The sequence below is a fragment of the Homo sapiens genome, chromosome 10, assembly GCF_000001405.40.
Source record: "Homo sapiens chromosome 10, GRCh38.p14 Primary Assembly".
Classification (NCBI taxonomy): Eukaryota; Metazoa; Chordata; class Mammalia; order Primates; family Hominidae; genus Homo; species Homo sapiens.
Window position 1 is genome coordinate 89713940 of NC_000010.11, and position 25670 is coordinate 89739609.

Genomic DNA, 25670 nt, shown 5'->3' on the forward strand with positions numbered 1-25670 from the left:
AAAGGTTGTGATTTGGTAGTGACTTATTTGGATAGGTAATTAATATCTTGATTATTTAACCTTAATGAAAATGTTTTTTTAATTTTTTAAAACAATCTTTTTTTTAGGTTACTGTGCATAATGATAGTGATGATACTCTTTATGGTAAGGTTTCGTTGCTCACTTATCTTTGATGTATCGATTATATGAAGTACACTTGAAAAGCTTTTAATTTTTAAATCACTTCTAATGTTTTATTTTTATTATTAAAAAATTTTTAGGCTGGGCGCGGTGGCTCATGCCTGTAATCCCAGCACTTTGGGAGGCTGAGGTGGGTGGATCATGAGGTCAAGAGATTGAGACCATCCTGGCCAACATGATGAAACCCCGTCTCTACTAAAAATAAAAAAATTACCTGGGCGTGGTGGCGCGGGCCTGTAGTCCTAGCTACCTGGGAGGCTGAAGCAGGAGAATCCTTGAACTCAGGAGGTGGAGGTTGCAGTGAGCCGAGATCGCGCCACTGCACTCCAGCCTGACAACAGAGTGAAACTGTCTCAAAAAAAAAAATTTTCACCTTGTATTTATTTATTTTTTTTCTATAGACCTCTTCTTTGGTTACTAAGGATTTAATTTCTATAATGACATAGTCGGTGATACCTGGAAAATGATACATATTTATATGAAATGTCAGTCATTGTGATGTTTCGTTTGTATTAAATATTACAGATATCCCTTTTACTGGTTACAATTTTAATATTGAATTTGAAAGACACTTGTTTTTCTTTGTCCTTTACATTTAATTTCTATTGGTTCATTAACATATTTTCAAAAAGAAAGGAATTATAAGAAGTTGTCTAACTTTGGTTAATCCACATATTATTTACATCTTCCTTTGTTCCAAAAAGTTTTTAACATAGATGGTCAAAAGATTAAGCATACTTGGTTTTTCAAGTGTGAGAATCGATTTGTACTTTTGTCACGTTTTTAGTCAGTTGCTTACTTTCGTGATTGTTTTTTCTTTTTCTTTTTTTTGTAGGAAGTTTAACTAACTCTTTGAATATCTCAGAGTTTGAAGAATCCATAAAAGATTATGAACAAGCCAACTTGAATATGGCTAATAGTATAAAATTTTCTGTGTGGGTTTCTTTCTTTGAAATTTACAATGAATATATTTATGACTTATTTGTTCCTGTATCATCTAAATTCCAAAAGAGAAAGATGCTGCGCCTTTCCCAAGACGTAAAGGGCTATTCTTTTATAAAAGGTATACTAATGAATATTTTTATCTTATTGCTCTGAAGTTCTCTTCCTGGGCTTTGTGATAGCTGTAAGACTAAAACAAATAGAAAATTGAAAATTGTAATGCTAATTATTAACATTAAGAGAAGAAGATAATTTTGTGCTTTGGAAGTATGTTTTGGTATATTTATTAAACTTGAATATAAAAGGGTCTATTTTGGTATTGTATTTGCTTGAGTATCATTAATTGGATTTGTGGTGATGGGAAAAGCTGTGTATGGTTATGTTCACGTTATTCTCCTGCTTTGTAACAGTGTCCAAATTTTGGAGCTATGAAATGTTACTATTCTTCCGGAGTGGTTTTTCTAACCTTTTAAAACAATTATTCACAGTAGGAAACACATATTAATAACATCATGATTCAGTACCTACATGCATGTATATATATTCATATGTAATATTTACAACTCAAAAGTTTCGTTAATTATACTTTTACTACAAGGAATGCACTGTAATATTTTCTATATTCTTTGTCATTTCTACAAAATGCTGGCCAGATGCAGTGGCTCACACCTGTAATCCCAGCACTTTGGGAGGCTGAGGCAGGTGGATCACTTGAGCTCAGGAATTCGAGACGAGCTTGGTCAACATGGCAAAACGCCATCTCTACAAAAAATACAAAAATTAGCCTGGCATGATCGTATGCATCTGTAGTCCCAGCTACTCAGGAGGCTGAGGCAGGAGGATCACTTGAGCCTAGGAGGTCAAGGCTGTAGAGAGCCATGATCACGCCTTTGCACTCCAGGCTGGGCAACAGAGTGAAACCTTGTCTCCAAAATAAATAAATAAATAAATAAATAAATAAAAATTAAAATACTGGTCATGATTCAATAAATCTGATTTTATGATTCACTAATAAATTACAATCTTCAGTGTTTAATAGCTAGGTAATTTTACAGGTTTAATCTGTACTGTACTTTGCCACTCTTTTTTTCCCTGAGTGTCTAATTCTAAGGAATTGTTACTGTATTCAATTTTCCGTTTGGCAGACTCTGTTGACAAACATTTATTTTGTGTGTTTGTGTAATTTACATTCTAGAACATTGTTACAATCTTCTCTGGTGTAACCTGAAATAGCTGAGTTGACTCCAGCTAGGATGTGTTGTTAGAAGAAAGATTTCATTATATGTCACTAGGAAAAGACTTTCAAAGAGATTACATTGTAGAACACATTCTTTGTCTCAATAAATTAATATATATCCTCTTTATTTTTTAAAGATCTACAATGGATTCAAGTATCTGATTCCAAAGAAGCCTATAGACTTTTAAAACTAGGAATAAAGCACCAGAGTGTTGCCTTCACAAAATTGAATAATGCTTCCAGTAGAAGGTAAAGAATAAACTCTGTAAGAGTAAACTCGAATCACCGATAGTATTCTGTGTTAATTTAAACACAGCTAATTTTACATTAAAGTGGGCAGTAGGTTCTCTCGTGTTAAATTCATAAGGCATAAAAAACATTTGGTATACAGAATAACACTAAACACGTTTATCAATACTGTTTCCTGTCCTGACAGTAGATTTATTAATTTATAGGAAATCTCTGAGGTATTTTTACTCTTTCTTTATGTCAGTATCTAAGCTCAGTATTTTTGGAGTTGGTAATAATGGTGGCCTTTTCTCTGGGTCTTTCTCACTTATCCCCTGAATACTATATAAATATACTCAGTGAGGGTATAATCTCAAGGGGTTAAGGAAGGAAGTTTTGATGGGATTGGGGGATGAGAGGCAAAGGAAATAAGTTTAAGCAGTGAGATAATTAAAGCAGGCTTTTTCTTAGAGAAGGAGCCCTGTTCCCGTAGTCAGTTGGGCATGGGACAATACAAGATCCGGATCTATAGGTCAAATGTATGCTTTGCTTTAGGTATGTATTCAGAGTATTGGCTAGCTGTACATAATATCATTTTAACTAATATTATCTTTTCAAACAAAATGTCGCTTTATTATAAATGATACTATTAATAGAAGTTGAACTGTCAGGATATAATTTGAGGGATTTAGAGCTAGGCAAAAGGTGATTTTAGGCATTTGGGTATGTAAGTGACAGTAGAACACTGGCTTGAAATATTTAACAGCTAATTGGAAAATGCAATGGTGGACTGTAGTTATACTAGGGTATAAATAAGATTGATTTGAATACTTGTCTCTCCTATTTAGAATGCAGAAATTAAAAATGATAAGATAACATTTGATCTTTGTATTTCAGTCACAGCATATTCACTGTTAAAATATTACAGATTGAAGATTCTGAAATGTCTCGTGTAATTCGAGTCAGTGAGTAAGTTGAATATTCTTTAAATTTAATTATTTGTAATTGTTTTGAAGAACTTTTAAAGTACTTTTTTTTTCTTAATTCAGATTATCTTTATGTGATCTTGCTGGTTCAGAACGAACTATGAAGACACAGAATGAAGGTGAAAGGTTAAGAGAGACTGGGAATATCAACACTTCTTTATTGACTCTGGGAAAGTGTATTAACGTCTTGAAGAATAGTGAAAAGTCAAAGTAAGTGTTTCTGAAAGTGTTATTAGCATATTAAATATTACAATATTTAAACTTTCAACTTTTTTGTTTTTAGAAAGTTCTTTTTTGATTTTTAAACTGCTTCTTATGTAATGACTGTGTATAGATTGTGATTCAAGTACTTAAGAGATCTTGGATTAAAGACAATGATAGAAATGTCAGTTGATGCCAGTAACTCATCAGGTAAAGTCAGTATTTTCCATGGCAAATCTATACCAATAGACACTGTAAATGAGAAGCTTCTAATGCTGGTTTAGGATCTAAAACCACTTTATTCTTATTAATGCATTGTGTGTGGTTCTAGATGCAATAGATTTTTACATTAATTAGCATTTTAGGCTGAGTAAATATAAATCAGCCTTCACCATTTCTATTTAGGGTGTTTCATGACATCTCTTATATACTTGCTCTATACTAGGGAACATAACCCAGTTAAATGTGGTTTTCTTTATAATTTACATAGTGGGTTATTGTTAGTAAGTAGCAGCAGTTAAAACAAACAGCCAGGCATGGTGGCTTATGCCTGTAATCCCAGCACTTTTGGAGGCCGAGGCAGGAGGATTGCTTGAGCCCAGGAGTTCAAGACCAGCCTCATCTCTACTAAAAATAAAAATAAAAAAATTAACCAGGTGTGGTGGCAGGCACCTGTAATCCCTGCTACCCTGGAGGCAGAGGCGAGAGGATCGCTTGAGCCTAAGATGTTGAGGCTACAGTGAGCTCTGATTGTGCCACTGTACTCCAGTCTGGGCAACCGAGCTAGACCCTGTCTCAAAACAGAAACAAAAACAAAAACAAACAAGAAAAGATAAAAAGAAAACTGAGAAGGACTATTACATCTGAAACTAATCACTACCCTAAAGTTTAATTTCATGATAGGTGGCTTAATTATTTCTTTGTAAAATGTCTCAGCACCCTGATTTCATGAGATGTTTTTTAACTTACAATGTTTTCTGAAAATTTTTTCTGTAGGTTTCAACAGCATGTGCCTTTCCGGGAAAGTAAACTGACTCACTATTTTCAAAGTTTTTTTAATGGTAAAGGGAAAATTTGTATGATTGTCAATATCAGCCAATGTTATTTAGCCTATGATGAAACACTCAATGTATTGAAGTTCTCCGCCATTGCACAAAAAGTAAATATTTATTTTATTAAGCCTCTTATTATTAGAATATTAACAGTTTTTCTTGAAATAAATATTTTTTACTTAATACTGTAAGCCTAGGAAATAATTGAAAATTAAAAAGGTAAATATTTAACCAAGTAGGAAGACATGAGAAAGGATTGAAAGTTGCCCATGCTAGGATTAAAATGACCTTTAGTAATAAGAATTAGTAATAAACATCAGTTATAAATTAATGAGTATTTTTGGAATGAATTGTCTGCTCTGCCATTCATCTTGTTCATTTGGTACTTCTGGGTGATTGGAAAACCCTCTGCTAAGATTAATACTGAACACTTAGCCCAGGAAGATAGATTTTTCCTCTAGTTTACATGTGTAAGTAGCTTTTTTCCTATCAGAATGTTCTTTTAGGGATGGTGATTCCTGTTTGTATGTTTGTTTGAATAGTTTTTCCTTAACACTTGAGTGTTCATTTGACTTAAATTTATAAAATAATCATTTTCTAGTGGACAGTTCTTGTCTTTTCTGTTTTAAAAGTCACATTGAATATTTTAACAGGTTTGTGTCCCAGACACTTTAAATTCCTCTCAAGAGAAATTATTTGGACCTGTCAAATCTTCTCAAGATGTATCACTAGACAGTAATTCAAACAGTAAAATATTAAATGTAAAAAGAGCCACCATTTCATGGGAAAATAGTCTAGAAGATTTGATGGAAGACGAGGATTTGGTTGAGGAGCTAGAAAACGCTGAAGAAACTCAAAATGTGGAAACTAAACTTCTTGATGAAGATCTAGATAAAACATTAGAGGAAAATAAGGCTTTCATTAGCCACGAGGAGAAAAGAGTATGTATTAAGAACTCATACTTCTATGCTTGTCTTCTTATTCTGAAGTTAAGGTTAAATCTTAAGGCTCTCTCTCTTCAGTTTTTTTCAACAGTACACTGAAGTTTTTGTGTTCAACTTTATATTTTGAAAAATTTCAAACCTATAGAAAGACTAGTACAATGAATACTCATTTATCCTTCACCTGGATTCTCCACTTACCATTTTATGAGTATGTGAATACACATCTTTTGGTCTGTACAATTTGAAAATAAGATCCAGACATAATGACACCTTACATCTAAATATTTGAACATATTTTTCTAAGAACATGGGCATTTTCATCATGATCACAAGACCATGAAATTTTCATACCCAAAAAATTTAATATTGATACACTAATATAACCTCGTATACTGTTTGTATTGAGAGTTCCCCAGTGTTCCAAATATGTTCTTTATAGCCACTTTGTTTTTGTCTACAGCCAGAGTTAACACATTGCTTTTGATTATTGTGTTTCTTTAATCATTTCTAATCTAGCACTGACATTTTTGAAAAGTGGGTCCTAGTTTTCTCATAGAATACCTGCAATTTAGATTTGTTTGATTATTTCTTCATGATTTAGGTTTAATACATTAGGGAAGCTTTTTATGTAGGTTAAGTTGTAAATTTTCCATTGCATCACACCAAGAGCCACATGATGTCTGATTTTTCCATTCTTAGAGATGCTAAGTTTTGCTCACTTGGTTAAGATAACAGTATTTCAGATCTGTATTGCAAAACCATATTATCTGTGGGGTGTTACTTATAGACCATGTGAGTATCCTTTCACTAAGTGATTTTATGTATTCCATCAGACCTTTATTTTGCAGTCTCAAGTACAAGTGTTAAAAATATCTACCAAGTACCTATGATCCCATATCTTCAAAAACACTAATTGTTTGTCGTCTTGTTATTATGATAAATAAATAAGATTTAACGGTTGTTTTTTTAGCTTCTGTCCAATTATAGTATTTATTTATTTATTTATTTATTTTTGAGAGAGGGTCTTGCCCTGTTGCCCAGGCTAGAGTGCAATGGCACGATCTCGGCTTACTGCAACCTCTGCCTCCTGGGTTCAAGCGATTCTCCTGCCTCAGCCTCCTGAGTAGCTGGGAGTATAGGCATGCGTAACCATACCCAGTTAAGTTTTTTTTGTATCTTTAGTAGAGATGGGGTTTCACCATGTTGGCCAGGCTGGTCTCGAACTCCTGACCTTGCGATTGCCCGCCTCGGCCTCCCAAAGTGCTGGGATTATAGGCATGAGCCACCTTACCTGGCCACCTATTCCCATCTTTAATTGGCCATAACTCCGTGAGTATAGATGGAGTCCTCTTACCAGTGTCCTACAAACACTAGTAGACCTGTGTTCATGGGTGTGCTTTAATGGTGTTGACACATCACACATCACAGTACTCTTCTGGATTGCAGAAGTATAAGTAGAACGATGATGTATTAGGCTAAATACTCTCATTTTAATAATTTACCTTCATGTCCCTGAAAGCAATTATTGAACATATGTTTGGAAACAAGAATGATAGCTTCAGATGTAGTACAAGTCCCACTTTATCTGGTCACTATGTGATTAGACCGTGTTACTTGGGCTTCTGTAATGTATTAAATAGTACCTCCTCAGTGACGAAAGGAGCCTTTAATAGTCTAGTTTGGCTGGTGCAGTGGCTCACACCTGTAATTCGAGCACTTTGGGAAGCTGAGGTAGGAGGATTGCTTGAGCTCAGGAGTTCAAAACTAGCCTGGGCAACATAGTGAGACCCCATCTCTACAAAAAAGTAAAATTAGTTAGGCATGATGATGCACAGGTGTAGTCCCAGCTACTTGGGAGGCTGCAGTGGGAAGATTGCTTGAGCCCAGGATTTCTAGGCAGCAGTGAGCCATCACTGCACTACTGCACTCTGGCCTGGGTGACAGAGTGAGACCTTGTCTTAAAAACAAAGAAACAAACCAAAAAACCCAGTTTTTTTTTTTCATTTCAAAGTTGAAATTTTTGTATAATGTTGGTTAGTAAAATTTCTGAAATTACTAGAGAAAAATATTTAATGCTATAGTTTATGATGGATTATATAGTATAAATGCTTATCATATAAGATTGACTAAATATTTTAAGGAAATTCATCAAAATGTCTAATATTTGACATTTAAAAATCAATATGATTAGGTGTTGGCATGCTTTATTTTTTTCTTCTAGAGACAAAGTCTTGCTCTGTTACCTAGGCTGGAGTGCAATAGTGTAGTTATGGCTCACTGCAGCTTCGAAATCCTGGGCTCAAGTGATCCTCTTGCCTCAGTCTCCTGAGTAGCTGGGACCACAGATGCATGCCACCACCCCTAACTAATTTTTAAAAATGTTTTGTAGACATGAGGCCTTGCTCTATTGCCCAGGCTGATCTTGAACCCTTGGGCTCAGGCAATCCTCCTGCCTTGCAAAGCGCTGGGATTACAGATGTGAGTCAATGTGCCCAGCCCTTTCTTGACATTTTAATTAAAGGATTGGGACTTTTAAAAACCATTATAAAATACCTTGGTATTAGCATACATATACTTAAATTCGTTTAGCTGTAATAGCCAGCCTAAATTTTTTCAGCAAAAACTTTATCAGATGCTAACAATGATAAAACCTAATTATTGAAAACTATTAAACTTCCCGCCAGGCGCGGTGGCTCATGCCTGTAATCCCAGCACTTTGGGAGGCCAAGGTGGGTGGATCATGAGGTTGAGAGATTAAGACCATCCTGGCTAACACGGTGAAACCCTGTCTCTACTAAAAATACAAAAAATTAGCCAGGCGTGGTTTCTGGCGCCTGTAGTCCCAGCTACTCGGGAGGTTGAGGCAGGAGAATGGCGTGAACCTGGGGGGCGGAGGTTGCAGTGAGCCGAGATCGAGCCACTGCACTCCAGCCTGGGCGACAGAGTGAGACTCCGTCTCAAAAAAAATAAATAAATAAAATAAACAAACTTCCCAAGGTTTTTCCACATTCATTCTGATGTCTCCTTCAATAGTTATTATTTATTGTTTTACTCAGAAAGTATGTAGTTTAAAATTATTAAAATAGTATTATGTATTTATAGTAGAGTGAAAAAGAAAATCTAAATATAAAGATCTCTCAAATCTACCATGAATGTTAATGGATTTTTATTATATATTACTGTTTTGTAACCTGGTATTCTTTATATAAAAATAAATTGTGAAAAGTATGAATTATTAATATAGGTTATCATTGATTACGGTAGTTTATGGTAGTACCATAATTAAACCAATCCTTTAACATTGGTTGAGTTGGGTTCACTTTTTCATTATTTAAACACAACTACCATCACAAAACAACAACACTGTGATCAGCATTCATACAACCAGAACATGGGGTTATATTATAATTATTTTCAGTATAAATTCTTGGAGGCAGAGTTTCAAAGTCTGGATAGCTGTAGAACTATTTTCAAATATAAAGTTGAGACATTGGAAGATCTGTAGCTTAGAGTTTATTGTTTAATTTGTTGTTGAGTAACTTTAAATAGAAACATTAAAAAGAATATGTAGCTGTTTCCTTAATGCTACAATTTATGTTATGAATGTATAATGGTCATGTTAAGTGTTTTATTTATTGCTTTATTTATATATTGCACATTTTTCATGATTATGTATGTGTTTCAAAGGCTATAGAATTGCTGTTGACATCTGGATAGTTATAAAAGCCTAATATAAGTTTATGTAACATCTTTATTTGACAGATTAGTAAGTGGGTGTTCTTAGCAACTTCTCTGGTGTATGCAATCCTTGGGCTTTAGACTTTTACAGGCCACTTTTAAACTCAACCTTTAGCATTTACCAGAGATCTGATCCTTATGCTTCCCACCTGTGAAATATGGATGATACCAAGCTCACAGAAAGTTGTGGATTAAATGAAGCAAATATGGAACTCCCCAGAGTAGTTCTTGATAGATAATAAATGCACTAATTAACTTTACTTATTTTCTTAGTATAGCTAAACAGTGAGACGAGTTACCAAAGGTCTATTTCTAAAATGTGGAAAGGCCAACCTGATTTTTCAGTTAACAAATCTTTGCAAACATATAATTTTCAGTGAGAACATTATCACTATTAAAAAGGACACAGAATTACAATTGACTAAATGTAAAGTTTTATTTTTTGAACAGTTGGACGGTATTTCTCTTGGGATATATTTATTCTTTTATAAGAATTTTATCATTTACATGTAATAGAAACTGTTGGACTTAATAGAAGACTTGAAAAAAAAACTGATAAATGAAAAAAAGGAAAAATTAACCTTGGAATTTAAAATTCGAGAAGAAGTTACACAGGAGTTTACTCAGTATTGGGCTCAACGGGAAGCTGACTTTAAGTAAGTTATTTATTTCATGTCCAGGTAAAAATTGAGAATTTTATTTAGTTTTTTAGTTTTTTTTTTTACTTAGTTTACTTTTTATATTAGGTGGCTTCTGAATTCTGATCTCTTTATACAAGCTTGAAAATAGCTGTTACTGGTCTGGTGCGGTGGCTCACGCCTGTAATCCCAGCATTTTGGGAGGCCTAGGCAGGCGGATCACTGAAGGTCAGGAGGTCGAGATCAGCCTGGCCAACATGGTGAAACCTCGTCTGTACTAAAAATAGAAAAATTAGCTGGGCGTACTGGCATGTTCCTGAAGTCCCAGCTGCTTTCAGGAGGCTGAGGCACGAGAATCTCTTGAACCTGGGAGGTGTAGGTTGCAGTGAGCTGAGATTGTGTCACTGCACTCCAGCCTGGGCGACAGAGTGAGACTCTTGTCTCAGAGAAGAAAAAAAAGAATATAGCTGTAACTAATCCCATGCATGGTTATTTAAATTTTCTCTCTTTTTTAAATTTAAATTTTAATTTTTTGAGATGGAGTCTTGTGCTGTCACCCAGGCTGGTATTGAGTGGTGCGATCTTGGCTCACGGCAACCTGCACCTCCTGGGTTCAAGCAATTCTTCTGCCTTAGCCTCTCCTGCCTTAGCCTCCTGAGTAGCTGGGATTACAGGCACACACCACCACGCCCAGCTAATTTTTGTGTTTTTAGTAGAGACGGTGTTGCTGTGTTGGCCAGGCTGGTTTCAAACTCCTGGCCTGAAGTGATCCACCCGCCTCCGCCTCCCAAATTGCTGGGATTACAGGCGTGAACCACTGTACCTGGACTAAATTTTCTTTTAATCTAGAATATACTTAAACTTAGATGTTTAAAACAAAAACACAAAGTAGTTCGTTTTCTGTTTCTTAATGGGATTAATTTGTATTTTGAAGGGAGACTCTGCTTCAAGAACGAGAGATATTAGAAGAAAATGCTGAACGTCGTTTGGCTATCTTCAAGGATTTGGTTGGTAAATGTGACACTCGAGAAGAAGCAGCGAAAGACATTTGTGCCACAAAAGTTGAAACTGAAGTATGTTAATTGAAGTATTTAAAAATATCCAGTGAGGTTTTGGTACCAGGGTTTAGTGTACCACATCAATGATGAGAAACACCAAGATAGTTTAGAATTAAAACAATGCTTTGTGTGTAGCTTTATTATAATTAGGCATGTTTTTTTAGAAGTGTAAGGCACCAAGAATTTAAATATAATGATTGGTTTTGAAAAATTTATACCTCTGTTATATATATATATATCTTATTTTGGTATTGCTTGAATCATTGTGTTGTAGGCAGATAGATTCTTTTTTGAGATTTGTCTTACTTAACATTTTTAAATAAAAAGAATTTTAAAGGTGTAAGAGACCTAAGACGTCATTTACTTGCTGTTCTGATTAAAACAAAAATGTTTATGTATAAAAAGGGTTGCCCTTGCCGGGCAACTACCGTTTCTTACTCTTTTAAAATTTTATTTGTTTATTTATTTATTATAGTTTTAGAGTTAGGGTCTTGCCGTGTTACCCAGGCTGATCTTGAATTCCTGGCTTCAAGCAGTCCTCCTGCCCAGCCTCCCAGGTGGCTGAGATTACAGGTGCACGCCACTGTGCTCAGCTTATTCTCTACTTGTAATATAAGAAAAATTATCCTTTTCTGCTGCTTCCACTGAAGCTGAAATTGATCAGTTTTTTGGGGGAGTTGGTTTTTTTTTGTTTTTGTTTAGTTTTTTAATCACTCAGTTCAAGTGCCTGTGACAGTGATGTCCAGACGTCTGCTGTCAAGCAAACCTTATGTATCCTTGACGTGGTTTGGGATTGACTGAGTTGTGAAAATGTAGGTTTGTTTCATGCACTATCCCAACAAAACCTTTTAAGTCTCATTATATAATTGAAAGTATACCTGAACTAGGTAATCATAATTGTTCTATAATGACTTGTCACAGTTTGTAACATTGTTTTTATGCGAAAATATGCCTCATGGTCCATACAGCAGAAAATAAATAATGGAACACAGGTTTTTCATAATTGGAGTTGCTTCTATATAATTTATTTTAAAGAATTTCAAGTGATGAATTTTTTGCTTTTTTAAAAACTGTCTAAATTAGATGGTACCACATGTAAAGGGTGAACCCTACTGTTAATATTAGGCATGTGGTTTTTGCTATTTTTAGGAAACACATAATTATGTAGGATTTGAAGATATTATTGATTCTCTTCAAGATAATGTTGCTGATATTAAGAAACAGGCTGAAATTGCTCACTTATATATTGCATCTCTTCCTGACCCCCAGGAAGCTACTGCTTGTTTAGAACTAAAGTTTAATCAAATTAAAGCTGAATTAGCTAAAACCAAAGGAGAATTAATCAAAACCAAAGAAGAGTTAAAAAAGAGAGAAAATGGTAAGTGGATACATTTTACTTTTATTTAGATATTGTAAACACATAAAAAGTACTCTTGGTAAGTATAAGAGATTTATGTAGCTCATTTACCGTAGTGACCAGAAAATTCTTTCATCTAGGTAACATATTTTAATATTTTACCATTTGTATGACTTTGTAGTAATTTACTACTAAAAATATTTTTTGACTTCCATTTATTTTAGACCAATATTATTAGAAAATGAGCTTCTCAACAAAAAAAGTCAAAACAAGTGTTAACTTTATGAGTAAAGCTGTAAATTTTGTTATATATATATATTTTTTATGACAGCGTCTCGCTCTGTCACCAAGGCTGGAGTCAGTAGTGGCATCACAGCTCACTGCAGCCTTCTACTCCTGGGCTCAATTACTCCTCTTGCCTCAGCTTCCTGAATACTTGGGACCACAAGTGTGCACTACCACAGCGGCTGCATTTTTTTTTTTTCTTTTTTGTAGAGATGGGATCTTGCTATGCTGCCCAGATTGGTCTTGAACTCCTAGGCTCAAGTGATACTGCCTGCCTCGGCCTCCCAAAGTGCTGGGATTACAGGCATGAGCCGTGCTGTGCCTGGCCTTGTTCTATATTCTTTATAAATTCTTGCAGTATAGAAGATTCACTGTTGGGATAGAGTGACTACTGTGGAGTGGTTTAAAGTAATTTGTTAGTTTGATGCTTCATTCTAACTAGGAGGGCATTTTCTTTTTCTGTCTTCCCCCCCCCTTTTTTTTTTAAAGACAGGGTCTCACTCTGTCACCCAGGCTGGAGCGCAGAGGCATGATCATGGCTCACTGCAGTTTTCCACCTCCTGGGCTCAAGTGATCCTTCCACCTTAGTCTCCTGAGTAGCTTGGACTACAGACATGTGCCACCATGCTGAGGGCATTTTATATACATAAATAGAATTGTTTGTAATATCTGCATTTTAAGAATTAGTTGCAATAACTGCTCTGCCCTTTTTTGTGTGAAACAAATGGGTAGAAAATAACACGTAAGTGGTGCCTTTGCATTATGAAATGTACTTAAAAAGCACTAGCTCCTTTTCTTCTCTGATGCTATGCCAGTTCTTTACTATTTAGCATATGCCACCTATTTTTATCCTGAGTTTTAGAAGTGGCTTTTTCTGAAACATTACCCTGTTGTGGTTGAATTAGCAGATTTTTTTTTAATGAGTAGGGTGTGCTTCTAGTGCTATCAAAATCCTTTTTATTGAATGTAACAGTAAAGTGTCACTAGAGCAGCATATGTTTCATAGTTATTCAGTGATACATATTTTTAGATGCTTAGATATTTATTTTCAATGTTCTTTATTTTTTCAGAATCAGATTCATTGATTCAAGAGCTTGAGACATCTAATAAGGTAATGCTTTAAGTTTTATTTTGTCTTGATAAGGTATTTAATTAACAAAGGGGTATGAATGATGACTAGATTTGTTTATTTTAAAAAATAATTAAACAGTAATATAGTCTCTTGGTATGCATGGGGGATTGGTTTTATTCTGTTATTTTTTCTGTTCTTCTTTGGCTTGAGTCTTCTTATTTCAACTTGTATTTATCCTTTCAAAAAGCTGAATATTTTAAAATATGATCAGATATAAATAATTCAAGATCTTGGTATCTAATATCCAGTATTTAAAGAACAAAAATGTACTTAGAAGACATTACACCTACTGTTTATACAATTCCTATCTTTTCTTGTATTTTTTCTACTTATGAAAATAGTAGACACTAGTTGTACCAATTACCTTAAGCTATATAAATAGAAAATAAAAAATTTCCCATAATGTTCTTCCTAAATTTAAAACAAAACCAAACCAACTTGTTTGGAAGCTCTTTAGACTGTTACTTTATGTATGTATTTATAGAACACTTACCATTTACCAGATACTCCTTCAAGTGCTTTTTATTAACTCATTTAAATGTTAGAGCAACTTTATGATGTAACTTGCCCAGGGTGACATAGTTTTTTTAGTTTTATTTATTTATTGTTTTTGAAATGGAGTCTCACTCTGTTGCCCAGGCTGGAGTGCAGTGGCATGGCTCACTGCAGCCTACGTTTCCTGGGTTCAAGTGATTCTCCTGCCTCAGCCTCCCAAGTAGTTAGGGTTACAGGTGGCCACCACCCCCGGCTGATTTTTGTATTTTTCAGTGGAGACGGGCTTTCACGATGTTGGCCAGGCTGGTCTCAAACTCCTGACTTCAGGTAATCTCCCCACCAGGTAATTTGGCCTCCCAAAGTGCTGGGATTACAGGCATGAGCCACTGTGCCTGGCCCAGGGTGACATATTAAAAGGGATAGCAGCTAGGATTTGAGCCCAGGCAGTCTGGCTCCAAATTCCTCTTATATGCTATATAGCTTCTTTTTTCTTTGTGTGTGTGTGTGTGTGTGTGTGTGTGTGTGTGTGTGTGTGTATGTAATTTTTTTAAAGGCAAAAATAAGATCATGCTGTGCATAGTGTGTTGCCACTGATTAGCTTTATTTAACTTTAAAATTTGAAGGAATTATAAAACTGTTTGCATTATTAATCATATTTGCATTCTAGTTATCCTAAAGTATATTCATGAAACATTGCTTTTTCTTCTTTCCAAAGAAAATAATTACACAGAATCAAAGAATTAAAGAATTGATAAATATAATTGATCAAAAAGAAGATACTATCAACGAATTTCAGAACCTAAAGTCTCATATGGAAAACACATTTAAATGCAATGTAAGAATTTAACCTTGTGTTATATTAATAAATTAGATAAGCATATGTTTTGGTTGAAAGGAAATAATTTAAAATAGCTTATGCAACTAAGACTAATTTATTGAGAATGTTGAATTGCTTATGCAACATTGAACTCAATTTACTGTTTTCCAAATCTGAATTTTTGAGAACTTAGACGAGGGTGTTTGACTTCTTTGAACATACTTTTCCACAAGATACGCTGGCAGTGCTTTGCATGTAAAAAGGAGGAGAATATGTAGCCTTTGGACGTTTAAGCCTCAGCTAGTTGGAAGGGGAGCTTTGAGGAGAAAGGAATTTAGGTGTACTTAGAAAACCAGATTATAATGTTTCAGGGAACTATAACATGAAATTCAGTAAAATTAGGTTTTTCCTTAGAAGCTTGTTTTTATTATATGTATTGTTGCTATTGTTTATATGCTTAATAGCAAGGATATTTTTTCTAAAAAGTTATACACTGTGACATGTAAAGACTTAAAGGGTTGTCTTTCATACAAATTTAGATAATTTCATATTCAGTTCAGCTTAGAATGATCAGCTTGTCTTTTAATCCATGTCTTTTAAAATGGCTTTTGGTTTTCTTTTTTTGGGGTAAGCTCCTTCAAATTATTCTTTTATTTAGAAATGGTAAAATATATGGTAATAATGTAGTAAGCTGAGTAAACTTAGAGCCAAACATCTTGCTTTGTTGAAAGGTGCTTTTTTATGTCTTTTCTATGACCAAAAGAAGCAGGCGTGGTATCTTATAAAAAGTGACTGTTGAGTTTCCTTTGTATCTTGATAGTCAAACTCTAATACCCACCAACATTCCCTGATTCATCTGAACTTTAGATGGGCATTTGATACCACAGGGGTAAATGAGGAGCATTCTAGAAGAGCACTCTGTCTAATCTCCTATAGTAGGCCTTTCTTTTGGTATTTATTAGATACATGATTCATTCTCTGGTTTTTCTGTACCTGAACTGGGAGAAATATCCTAATATTTAATATGTTAATAATAAACTATTTAGTAATAATTAGTATTTAATAAGGTGGAGGAGCAAGAAACACTTGTGGAGTGTCCAACGTGTGCCAGGTACTATGCTAGATTATTGGAATTATACAGATTAATAAAATCTACTACCCTAACAATCCCCCAATAAGAAAAAAACAACATAAATATAGTTATAATACAATGTGCAGTCGTAGTCAATGTGTGAAGCTGTGAGTGGGTGGGGAGTTAGGAATACTTTGTGGAGATGAAAATGATTAAGTTGAGCCTTAAAGGGTGAGTAAAATTTAGCCTTTTGAAGGTAGAGGAAGGGGACAGTGGTAGTCAGGAGAGACAAGAAGGTACATTGGCCTTCCATGTACCAGAATCAGAGTGCACAAAGTCATGGAAATGAGAAATCTTTCAGTGAGTGCAGGAAAATACAAACAATTTGTTGTTTAGGAAGAAAGTTTGAAGCAAGGAGAGGTGAGAAATGAGGCTAGGAGTAGTAGAATAGGATAAGATGAAAGACCTTGAATACTGCATTAAAGAGTTTGGGGAGTCAGTGGGGGAGTCATTTTCACCAGAGGAATAGCAAAGAGGAGTTTTTCATTTGAGTAGATATTTTTGGAAACTTGGAAGATAGGATTGAGATGGAATTAGACTACAGGCAGAGAGACCAGATAGCTACCTCTTGGAAGAGTTCAGCTAATAGTTGATGAGGACTTCGATTTACGGTAGTAGTAGTAGAGATTAAGGAAGAGGAAATTGATTTGTGAAGTAAGGGGATGTTAAAATTTTGAGACTTGGGGCAGTAAATTAATTGCTGGGCCTCCTGGCTCTCGAAACTTTTATTTGGTTAGTCATCACATGCTTTTTGCTCTCATCTCTTGATCTGGATTTTAAGTCTGTTCTTTGATTTGGTAAATAAAAACAAAAAGGAAAGTCAGAGACAGGTCATTTCTGGTGACTACAACTTCAAAGAAAATAGTTGGAAATTTCACATGGGATTATATTTATTGCTGTAGTGTGTTTGCATACCATAATATATTAGCAATATTTAAGGAAGTGATAGTAAAAAAATCAATATTTGTAAATTAGTTAGTCCTTGCTTGTAAATAAACTTTATAGATTCTAGATCTTGTTTTATCAACTAACTTAATACAGTGTGCTAAATTTAAATTGTTCACTTAAATACATACAAATATACAAAGTAGTTTGGAACTTACCTAATTGTCCTGATTAACAGTTGATCTAGGGTCACTGTTCCACATCTTGTCTTGAGCGCAAACTCTTTCCAATAATGAAAAAATTTAGTTTGAATTCTTTGCTTTTTCTACCCAAGCATACCCTGGGAGCAGAAAACCCTCCTTTCAATAACTATAACTTCTGAAGGATAGATTTTTGGTGAGGATTGTATATTTTGAAGCGGGGAAAAATGACGGGATCATTCTGATAGGTACCAAGGATCGGGGAAGGAACAACTTGGACTTGTTATGGAGCTGTGTCAGAGGTGTGATCTGCCTGTCCCATGATTTTGTCATTTATCAGTGACACTAAGGGACTAATTGTGAGAAAGCGTGGAGATTGTTCTTTATGACATCCTTTGTTTAGAGATACTAGAAAAACTTTGCCTTTTTTCTTAAATAACCCATTACTTTATGACTTTAAAAGGTTATTTTTATCTGTATTTCCTGCTAATACAATGTTTGCTGATTAAGCGGCACTCTATCATACACTTTGTTTTTTCAAATTGATTGCTACAAGTTTCTGCCTTCACCATACATTTGATTACTCTATAGACTTGCGCTTAAATGCTGAGTTTTACCCTTCTTCTAAATCCATATTATACCCTTTTTTTGGAAGTTCCCCCCCTCTCTCAGCTCCCCCACTTTCTTTCTTTTTAGAGGTAGGGTCTCATCACTCTGTTGCCCAGGCTGAAGTGCAGTGATGTGACCATGGCTCACTGCAGCCTTGAACTGCTGGGCTCAAGAGATCCCATTGCCTTAGCCTTCCGAGTAGCTGGGACTGCAGGCATGGACCACAACACCTGGAATTTTAATTTTTTGTAGAGACGGGTTCTCACTGTGTGGCCCAGGCTGGTCTCAAACTCCTGGGCTTGAGTAATCCTCCGGCCTCAGCCTCCCAAAGTGCTGGGATTACAGGCAGGAGCCCCTGTGCTTGGTTGCTACTAGCCTTTTCAAGGGAGGCAGTCTGCCTTAAAAAAAAAAAAAGTCTAAATGACGTATCTAGAAGCTCAGTTTCAAAGCTGTCTGTAGGCTGTATATCTTTGAATATATATCGACTTAAAGCTAAGGGCAAAACTATTTTTCTAGGAGTTGTTAATGTTTAAGACAATACTAATCTTTAAGAGGCTTTGGCTACAAAACAAAATAAATAGTTGAGTTCATATTTTTCTTTTCAAAGCACATTTCTGATGTGACTTCAGAGATTTATCTTCTTAAGATTCTCCAGTTATCCCCAAATGTTACTTATTTGCTAGAGCCATCAGTTATTTTAGGACGAAACTTAAGAAATAACTTAGAAAATGTCTCAACAAATTTGAAAATAAAATTTTTATGGTACACCATTGAAAGTAATTTATGTGATTTGTACATTTTTTGTAGCTTTCTATATGTGAATTATTTTTAACTTATTTTGCTTTAGGACAAGGCTGATACATCTTCTTTAATAATAAACAATAAATTGATTTGTAATGAAACAGTTGAAGTACCTAAGGACAGCAAATCTAAAATCTGTTCAGAAAGAAAAAGAGTAAATGAAAATGAACTTCAGCAAGATGAACCACCAGCAAAGAAAGGTACTACTTCAGCTGCCAGCAGCAGGCGTTTAAGAAAGCTAATTTCTAAACCAGTAAATAGAACAAGGCAAACAGAGGGGCATTCACTTGTCTAAGGAAAAATCTTGAGAAAATCTAAACGTCTTGAATTTTTATTCTGGAAAGTTATACATTTTCTAGGGATGGGCATAGTTAAAGCTTTTATCTTAATAAATATGCTTTTAGAAATTGTGCTTTTATTATTTCTTTCGCAGTCTATGTAATAATTTCTGTGCTTATAATAGTTAAAACTCATTACTTTGATTTTATAAATATAGTATTTTCTGCCTAAATCCCAGCACATTATTTTGTTTTCTTTGTTTGCATTCTTTATTCATTTGGAGAAAAGGATATTTTACAGTAAGACTTTGAGCTAAATATTATTAATAATAAATGTATTCAAGCTGTATTTGTGATACCAGGAGACAGTCTGATGAAAGATAATACATGTTGAAGATTATTTTTTAAAAAATCTTTAATAGTAACTGGGCAAGTTTGTTGTAAATATAAAGAAGGGCAAACCTTTGAATTTTAGAGGAGGTAGACTCTTTAGAATAAACTGAAAATCTTGAGGAAATAAATAGGAAAATGTAAATTGCAAACATAAGAAACGCTTCAAAAAGAAACTCAGCAGCTTTTAAGAAAATACAGCAGGCATAATGCCTTATTTTACCCCTTCCTCTTTGAGGCTGGACAGTGTAAATTATACATAATAAAACCTTGTCCACTGAGCTTTTAAAATTAGTCTGTATTGAAGAAAAGAGATCTTGGAATCCTGTAATGAAATTGCACAATTACAGCTTCCCAAGAACATTTAGACAATTGAGTGAAACAAAAAAGAACATGCATTGCATTTGAGAAATGAAGACTTAACAAATACAGGTTGTTTTTTGTATATACAGTATCGAAGGCAAAACTAGATAAATTCTAGATGGGACAGGGAGGTAAGATTCCCATATTATATAGTGATTCTTGGGTGGGGGCATATTCTCACTGGGGGAAATCAGTATCTTGAGAGAGCTAGGGGATTTTAATTTATCAAAAGGGGTCATAGGCCGGGCGTGGTGGCTCATGCCTGTAATCCTAGCACTTTGGGAGGCCGAGGTGGGTGGATTCCCTGAGGTCAGGAGTTTGAGACCAGCCTGACCAACGTGATGAAACCCCATCTCTACTAAAATTACAAAAAATTAGCCTGGTGTGGTGGTGCATGCCTGTAATCCCAGCTACTTGGGAAGCTGAGGCAGGAGAATTACTTGAATCTGGGAGGCAAAGACTGCAGTGAGCCAAGATTGCGCCATTGCACTCCAGCCAGGGCAACAAGAGTGAAACTGTGTCTAAAAAAATGAAAGTGGTGGTGGGGGGTCATAGTATTAAAAAACCTTGAGAACAAACAATCACATAAGTTTTTTCTTCTCCACATTATGGTAGTACCTGAGGGACCTTTCATAAATGCTTTGGCTTTTCCTTTATTTTGCTCATAACTTCAACTGTGATTAGTATATATGGAAATGAGTATAGAAACTCATTTGTATATGGCATGGCAGATTTCAATTTAATGAGCTTTGTAATGATCTCAAAAGTGCTGCCTTCTTCATCGAACAGATTCATTACATGTGCATCCCATGGGCTATCATCTCACAACTAGGATGCACAAGAGCCTGTGAGAGGCAGGCTAAAACTTAATGGGTTTGAATTTCATAACTACAAGAGGTTTGACGTTTGGCTCTTAAGGAACAATTACATGCAGCAGTGCTGTCAGTTAAGGGCTTTGTAATGTAACAAACTGATATGTTAAGATCCCAAAGGTATTACAGAAGTCACTGTCAACTTCTAGAAATTTTCAAAAATAATACCCCAGAACACTAATTCTCAAAACGTTGCATGTAAAATACATCCCAGACTTACCAAATCACTATCTTTGGTATTTGGTGCCAGGAATCTGCATTTTAATAAGGTCCCTGGATAATTCCTCCCAATAAAACTAGAAAATCACTCTTGTGTAAATAAATGTTTTTCAGTGTTAAAGAGAGAACATTAAAATTTTAAACATAAAGTTACCATAAAGTAACAAAATTAATGTAACTGGAATATGTCAGATTCATGAATTTACATATATCTAGAAGCAGAATAAATTATTATTGCAAAAATCACAAAGATTATTTGTTTTCTATACCATGATATGTCTTAGAGATAGAAAAGAAGAACATATGTGGTATAGTTAAGTTTCAAAAATATTACATTTAGGATTATTATTCTATTTAGGTTTATTGTTCGTGATGAGTGAGATATAGGGAGTCTGCCATCAAGGAGCTTAAAATCTAGTAGATGAGAGAGACAAACATATTTCAATAAAATATAAAGAGCTGAGATGCATAGGATAATATTCGGGACTCATTAAAAAGAAAAATGTACCATATACTTTTTAGAGTCAATTAGATACCAATGGAAAGTAGTAAGTGTCTTTTTTTTTTTTTTTTTTTTTGAGACAGAGTCTTCCTCTGTCACCAGGCTGGAGTGCAGTGGCATGATCTTGGCTCACTGTAACCTCCGTCTCCTGGGTTCAAGCCATTCTCCTGGCTCAGCCTCCCGACTAGCTGGGATTACAGGCGCCCACCACCACACCCATCTAATTTTTTTGTGTTTTTAGTAGAGACAGGGTTTCACCATGTTGGCCAGGATGGTCTCGATCTCCTGACCTCGTGATCCACCCGCCTCTGCCTCCCAAAGTGCTGGGATTACAGGCGTGAGCCACCGTGCCCGGCCAGAAAGTAGTAGGTTTCTTAACTAGAAGGATTTCAAGCCAAACCTACATTATAATTGTCTTCTGCTCTTATAGATTAGTAACCCTTGTACTTCATATTATATCTGGGATCATTAAACAAGAAGAATTTGATTCTTACATAGTGAGGATATCACATAAAAATACAGGTTAATTAAACAGAAATGGTCAGTGAGGGAGTGAATGGCGGTCAGAAGAACATATGGAATTGATTGTATTAGAGCAAAGTCGTGTAGAAAATTCACATAAAAATTGTACCAGAACAATGTTGTAAAGTCTACTTGCAAACATCATATAAACATCAAACCATGAAGTATAACAAAACAGGAAAAAATTTCTAAAAACGAAGAGTCAGATTCTGGCCTGTTTTGAAGTAAGGTTTCGAGGATCTGAGACACTCATCTGACCCTTAATGGAAATTGTATGAAATATAAAAAGATATGTAGATATAAATTTATATATCTAGAAGATTGTTAATTATATTTCAAGATTTAATCATGGAATCTATGAGGAAAGTTTAAAAGAATATAATTTATACTGGGCACTTACGTGGGGTGAGTTTATTTGTCAGAGTGAACTTATGAATTAAATTGTAGCTAATAGTGTATCTGTTCTGGGTATAATTTGATCTGTACTGATTATAATGGCTAAAGTTCTTACATGTATACAACATTTATGTAGTCATTTAACTTACATTACGTATTAACTCATTTTAGTCTCTTAGCATTATTCTGTAGAGTAAGTTGGGCAGGTAAGGGTATCTTTATTCTAGCAATATACATATTAAGCCTGAAAAAGGCAAACTTTTATGCATTTTCAATTAGTTGAATCCTTCTGTACAGATTTTCAGGTTCTATTAATAGTTAAATCTATCCAATGCACAGTGTCGTCAACCCATTTGTCATCTTGATCTTCACAACTTTGAGATAGGTGGTATTATTCCTATATCACATTTGAGGAAACAGTCGTAGTATGAAGCAGTTTATTAATGGTTACAGCTAGTAAGGCTATATTATATGAATTCCCAAAGTTTTAACATGTCCCTTCTAATTTTAGCTATGAAAATTTAAGATACTCCATTTGCCTATTGCTAATATAGTAAAAGCCACAATATAATTGTAGCTTAAAACTGTTCGTTAGGATATGGAATGTCTGCCTAGGGTTTCTCGTCATCTCCTCCTCTCTGTCCCATATTGAAATGACAATAAAGATTTGTGGTACAAAATTTAAATAATACTGAAAGTTAGAAATAGCTGGTAATGCTACTCAGAGGTAGGTAGCTGCCATCATTTTGGTGTACTTCCTTTGCTAACTTTGTATTACCTTGTGAAATAATAATTTTTACATAAATGGGCTCATACCACATGTTTTAAAACCTGTTTTTTCTTTTTTTCTCAACAGCTTATTTCATTTTTTTTTTTTAATTAGAAGTTTACTTTTACATGTTTTGTATGTTTGAATATTGGCTTATATGGTGACTTTTTGGTTTTATTAAGGTTTGCCAGATTAATAACAATTTTCTTATTTTTAAAGGGTCTATCCATGTTAGTTCAGCTATCACTGAAGACCAAAAGAAAAGTGAAGAAGTGCGACCGAACATTGCAGAAATTGAAGACATCAGAGTTTTACAAGAAAATAATGAAGGACTGAGAGCATTTTTACTCACTATTGAGAATGAACTTAAAAATGAAAAGGAAGAAAAAGCAGAATTAAATAAACAGATTGTTCATTTTCAGCAGGAACTTTCTCTTTCTGAAAAAAAGAATTTAACTTTAAGTAAAGAGGTCCAACAAATTCAGTCAAATTATGATATTGCAATTGCTGAATTACATGTGCAGAAAAGTAAAAATCAAGAACAGGAGGAAAAGATCATGAAATTGTCAAATGAGATAGAAACTGCTACAAGAAGCATTACAAATAATGTTTCACAAATAAAATTAATGCACACGAAAATAGACGAACTACGTACTCTTGATTCAGTTTCTCAGATTTCAAACATAGATTTGCTCAATCTCAGGGATCTGTCAAATGGTTCTGAGGAGGATAATTTGCCAAATACACAGTTAGACCTTTTAGGTAATGATTATTTGGTAAGTAAGCAAGTTAAAGAATATCGAATTCAAGAACCCAATAGGGAAAATTCTTTCCACTCTAGTATTGAAGCTATTTGGGAAGAATGTAAAGAGATTGTGAAGGCCTCTTCCAAAAAAAGTCATCAGATTGAGGAACTGGAACAACAAATTGAAAAATTGCAGGCAGAAGTAAAAGGCTATAAGGATGAAAACAATAGACTAAAGGAGAAGGAGCATAAAAACCAAGATGACCTACTAAAAGAAAAAGAAACTCTTATACAGCAGCTGAAAGAAGAATTGCAAGAAAAAAATGTTACTCTTGATGTTCAAATACAGCATGTAGTTGAAGGAAAGAGAGCGCTTTCAGAACTTACACAAGGTGTTACTTGCTATAAGGCAAAAATAAAGGAACTTGAAACAATTTTAGAGACTCAGAAAGTTGAATGTAGTCATTCAGCCAAGTTAGAACAAGACATTTTGGAAAAGGAATCTATCATCTTAAAGCTAGAAAGAAATTTGAAGGAATTTCAAGAACATCTTCAGGATTCTGTCAAAAACACCAAAGATTTAAATGTAAAGGAACTCAAGCTGAAAGAAGAAATCACACAGTTAACAAATAATTTGCAAGATATGAAACATTTACTTCAATTAAAAGAAGAAGAAGAAGAAACCAACAGGCAAGAAACAGAAAAGTAAGCTAAATGTTATTCAAAATATTTTAAAATACACAAAGCATTCATTTTGCTATGCAGCTTTAAAAAAGTTAGATAGTCATACTTAATCTGGTAAAGCGTAGCATGTATGATGAGTGAAGAACTTGAACTTTGTCCATATAAACCTTTGGACCATAGGTTATGTGAAAAGATCAGCTTATAAAAATCATATGAAATATTTTCTGAAGAACTCATTCATAGTTTGGATATTCCAAATTTGTGAAAAGATATAATTTTGTAAAGATTGTTACCATTTCACATGTATGGTCCTAAGCAGTTAATGATGCATTACCATAGAAAAGTGGTTTATGTTTTTTAGATTGAAAGAGGAACTCTCTGCAAGCTCTGCTCGTACCCAGAATCTGAAAGCAGATCTTCAGAGGAAGGAAGAAGATTATGCTGACCTGAAAGAGAAACTGACTGATGCCAAAAAGCAGATTAAGCAAGTACAGAAAGAGGTAGGTTATTTGAAAAGTTATGTGGCCAGTTTATGATAAAGATTGTTTTCCTTATATATCAAACTTAGACATTAATCTTAGGATTGAATAGAACATTTATCCACTTTATAATTTTTCTTAAAATTACAAGAACAGTTACTTCACGAGAGAAAATTTAGCTGATTTAAACAAGCTGAAGAATGTCCAACATTAAGAGAAATATGTACCTTATGAAAGATTAGTCTTTTTCTTCTTTAAGAATTGCTAAATGTAAGTCCTTACAAAAAAGTGGAAAGCAACTTGTTTACAGATAGTACTTAGGAGAATGTGCAGTATGATTTTTTAGTTTTTATTATAACTTAATTTTTAAAAGGGAATGCAATCACATTATTCCAAATTTGAAATATAATAGATGTATACAATGAGAAGGAAATACTTCCCACTCCTTCGAGCTGTCAAGTTTACCTTCACAGCATCAAATGTTACCAATTTCTTTCTTTTTCTGCACTTCTCCCTCCTTCCCATTTTCTTGTA

At 34.5% G+C, this 25670-nt stretch overlaps 1 protein-coding gene across 5 annotated transcripts in view; it reads left to right on the plus strand.

The window, feature by feature from the left end:
* KIF20B (kinesin family member 20B) overlaps positions 1–25670 on the plus strand; it is a 73345-nt gene that overhangs the window by 12350 nt on the left and 35325 nt on the right. The window contains exons 7-21 of one of the 5 annotated variants that reach the window (NM_001284259.2): positions 108–144; positions 1016–1243; positions 2497–2608; positions 3485–3556; positions 3637–3783; positions 4771–4933; positions 5480–5767; positions 10025–10164; positions 11081–11219; positions 12354–12582; positions 13917–13957; positions 15189–15308; positions 18964–19117; positions 23448–24678; positions 25019–25157. In NM_001284259.2, coding sequence (NP_001271188.1) covers positions 108–144; positions 1016–1243; positions 2497–2608; positions 3485–3556; positions 3637–3783; positions 4771–4933; positions 5480–5767; positions 10025–10164; positions 11081–11219; positions 12354–12582; positions 13917–13957; positions 15189–15308; positions 18964–19117; positions 23448–24678; positions 25019–25157 — 3240 coding nt within the window. The remainder of the gene's footprint in view (positions 1–107; positions 145–1015; positions 1244–2496; positions 2609–3484; positions 3557–3636; positions 3784–4770; positions 4934–5479; positions 5768–10024; positions 10165–11080; positions 11220–12353; positions 12583–13916; positions 13958–15188; positions 15309–18963; positions 19118–23447; positions 24679–25018; positions 25158–25670) is intronic. The other 4 variants (NM_016195.4, NR_168374.1, NM_001382506.1 and 1 more) reach the window with 4 other exon arrangements.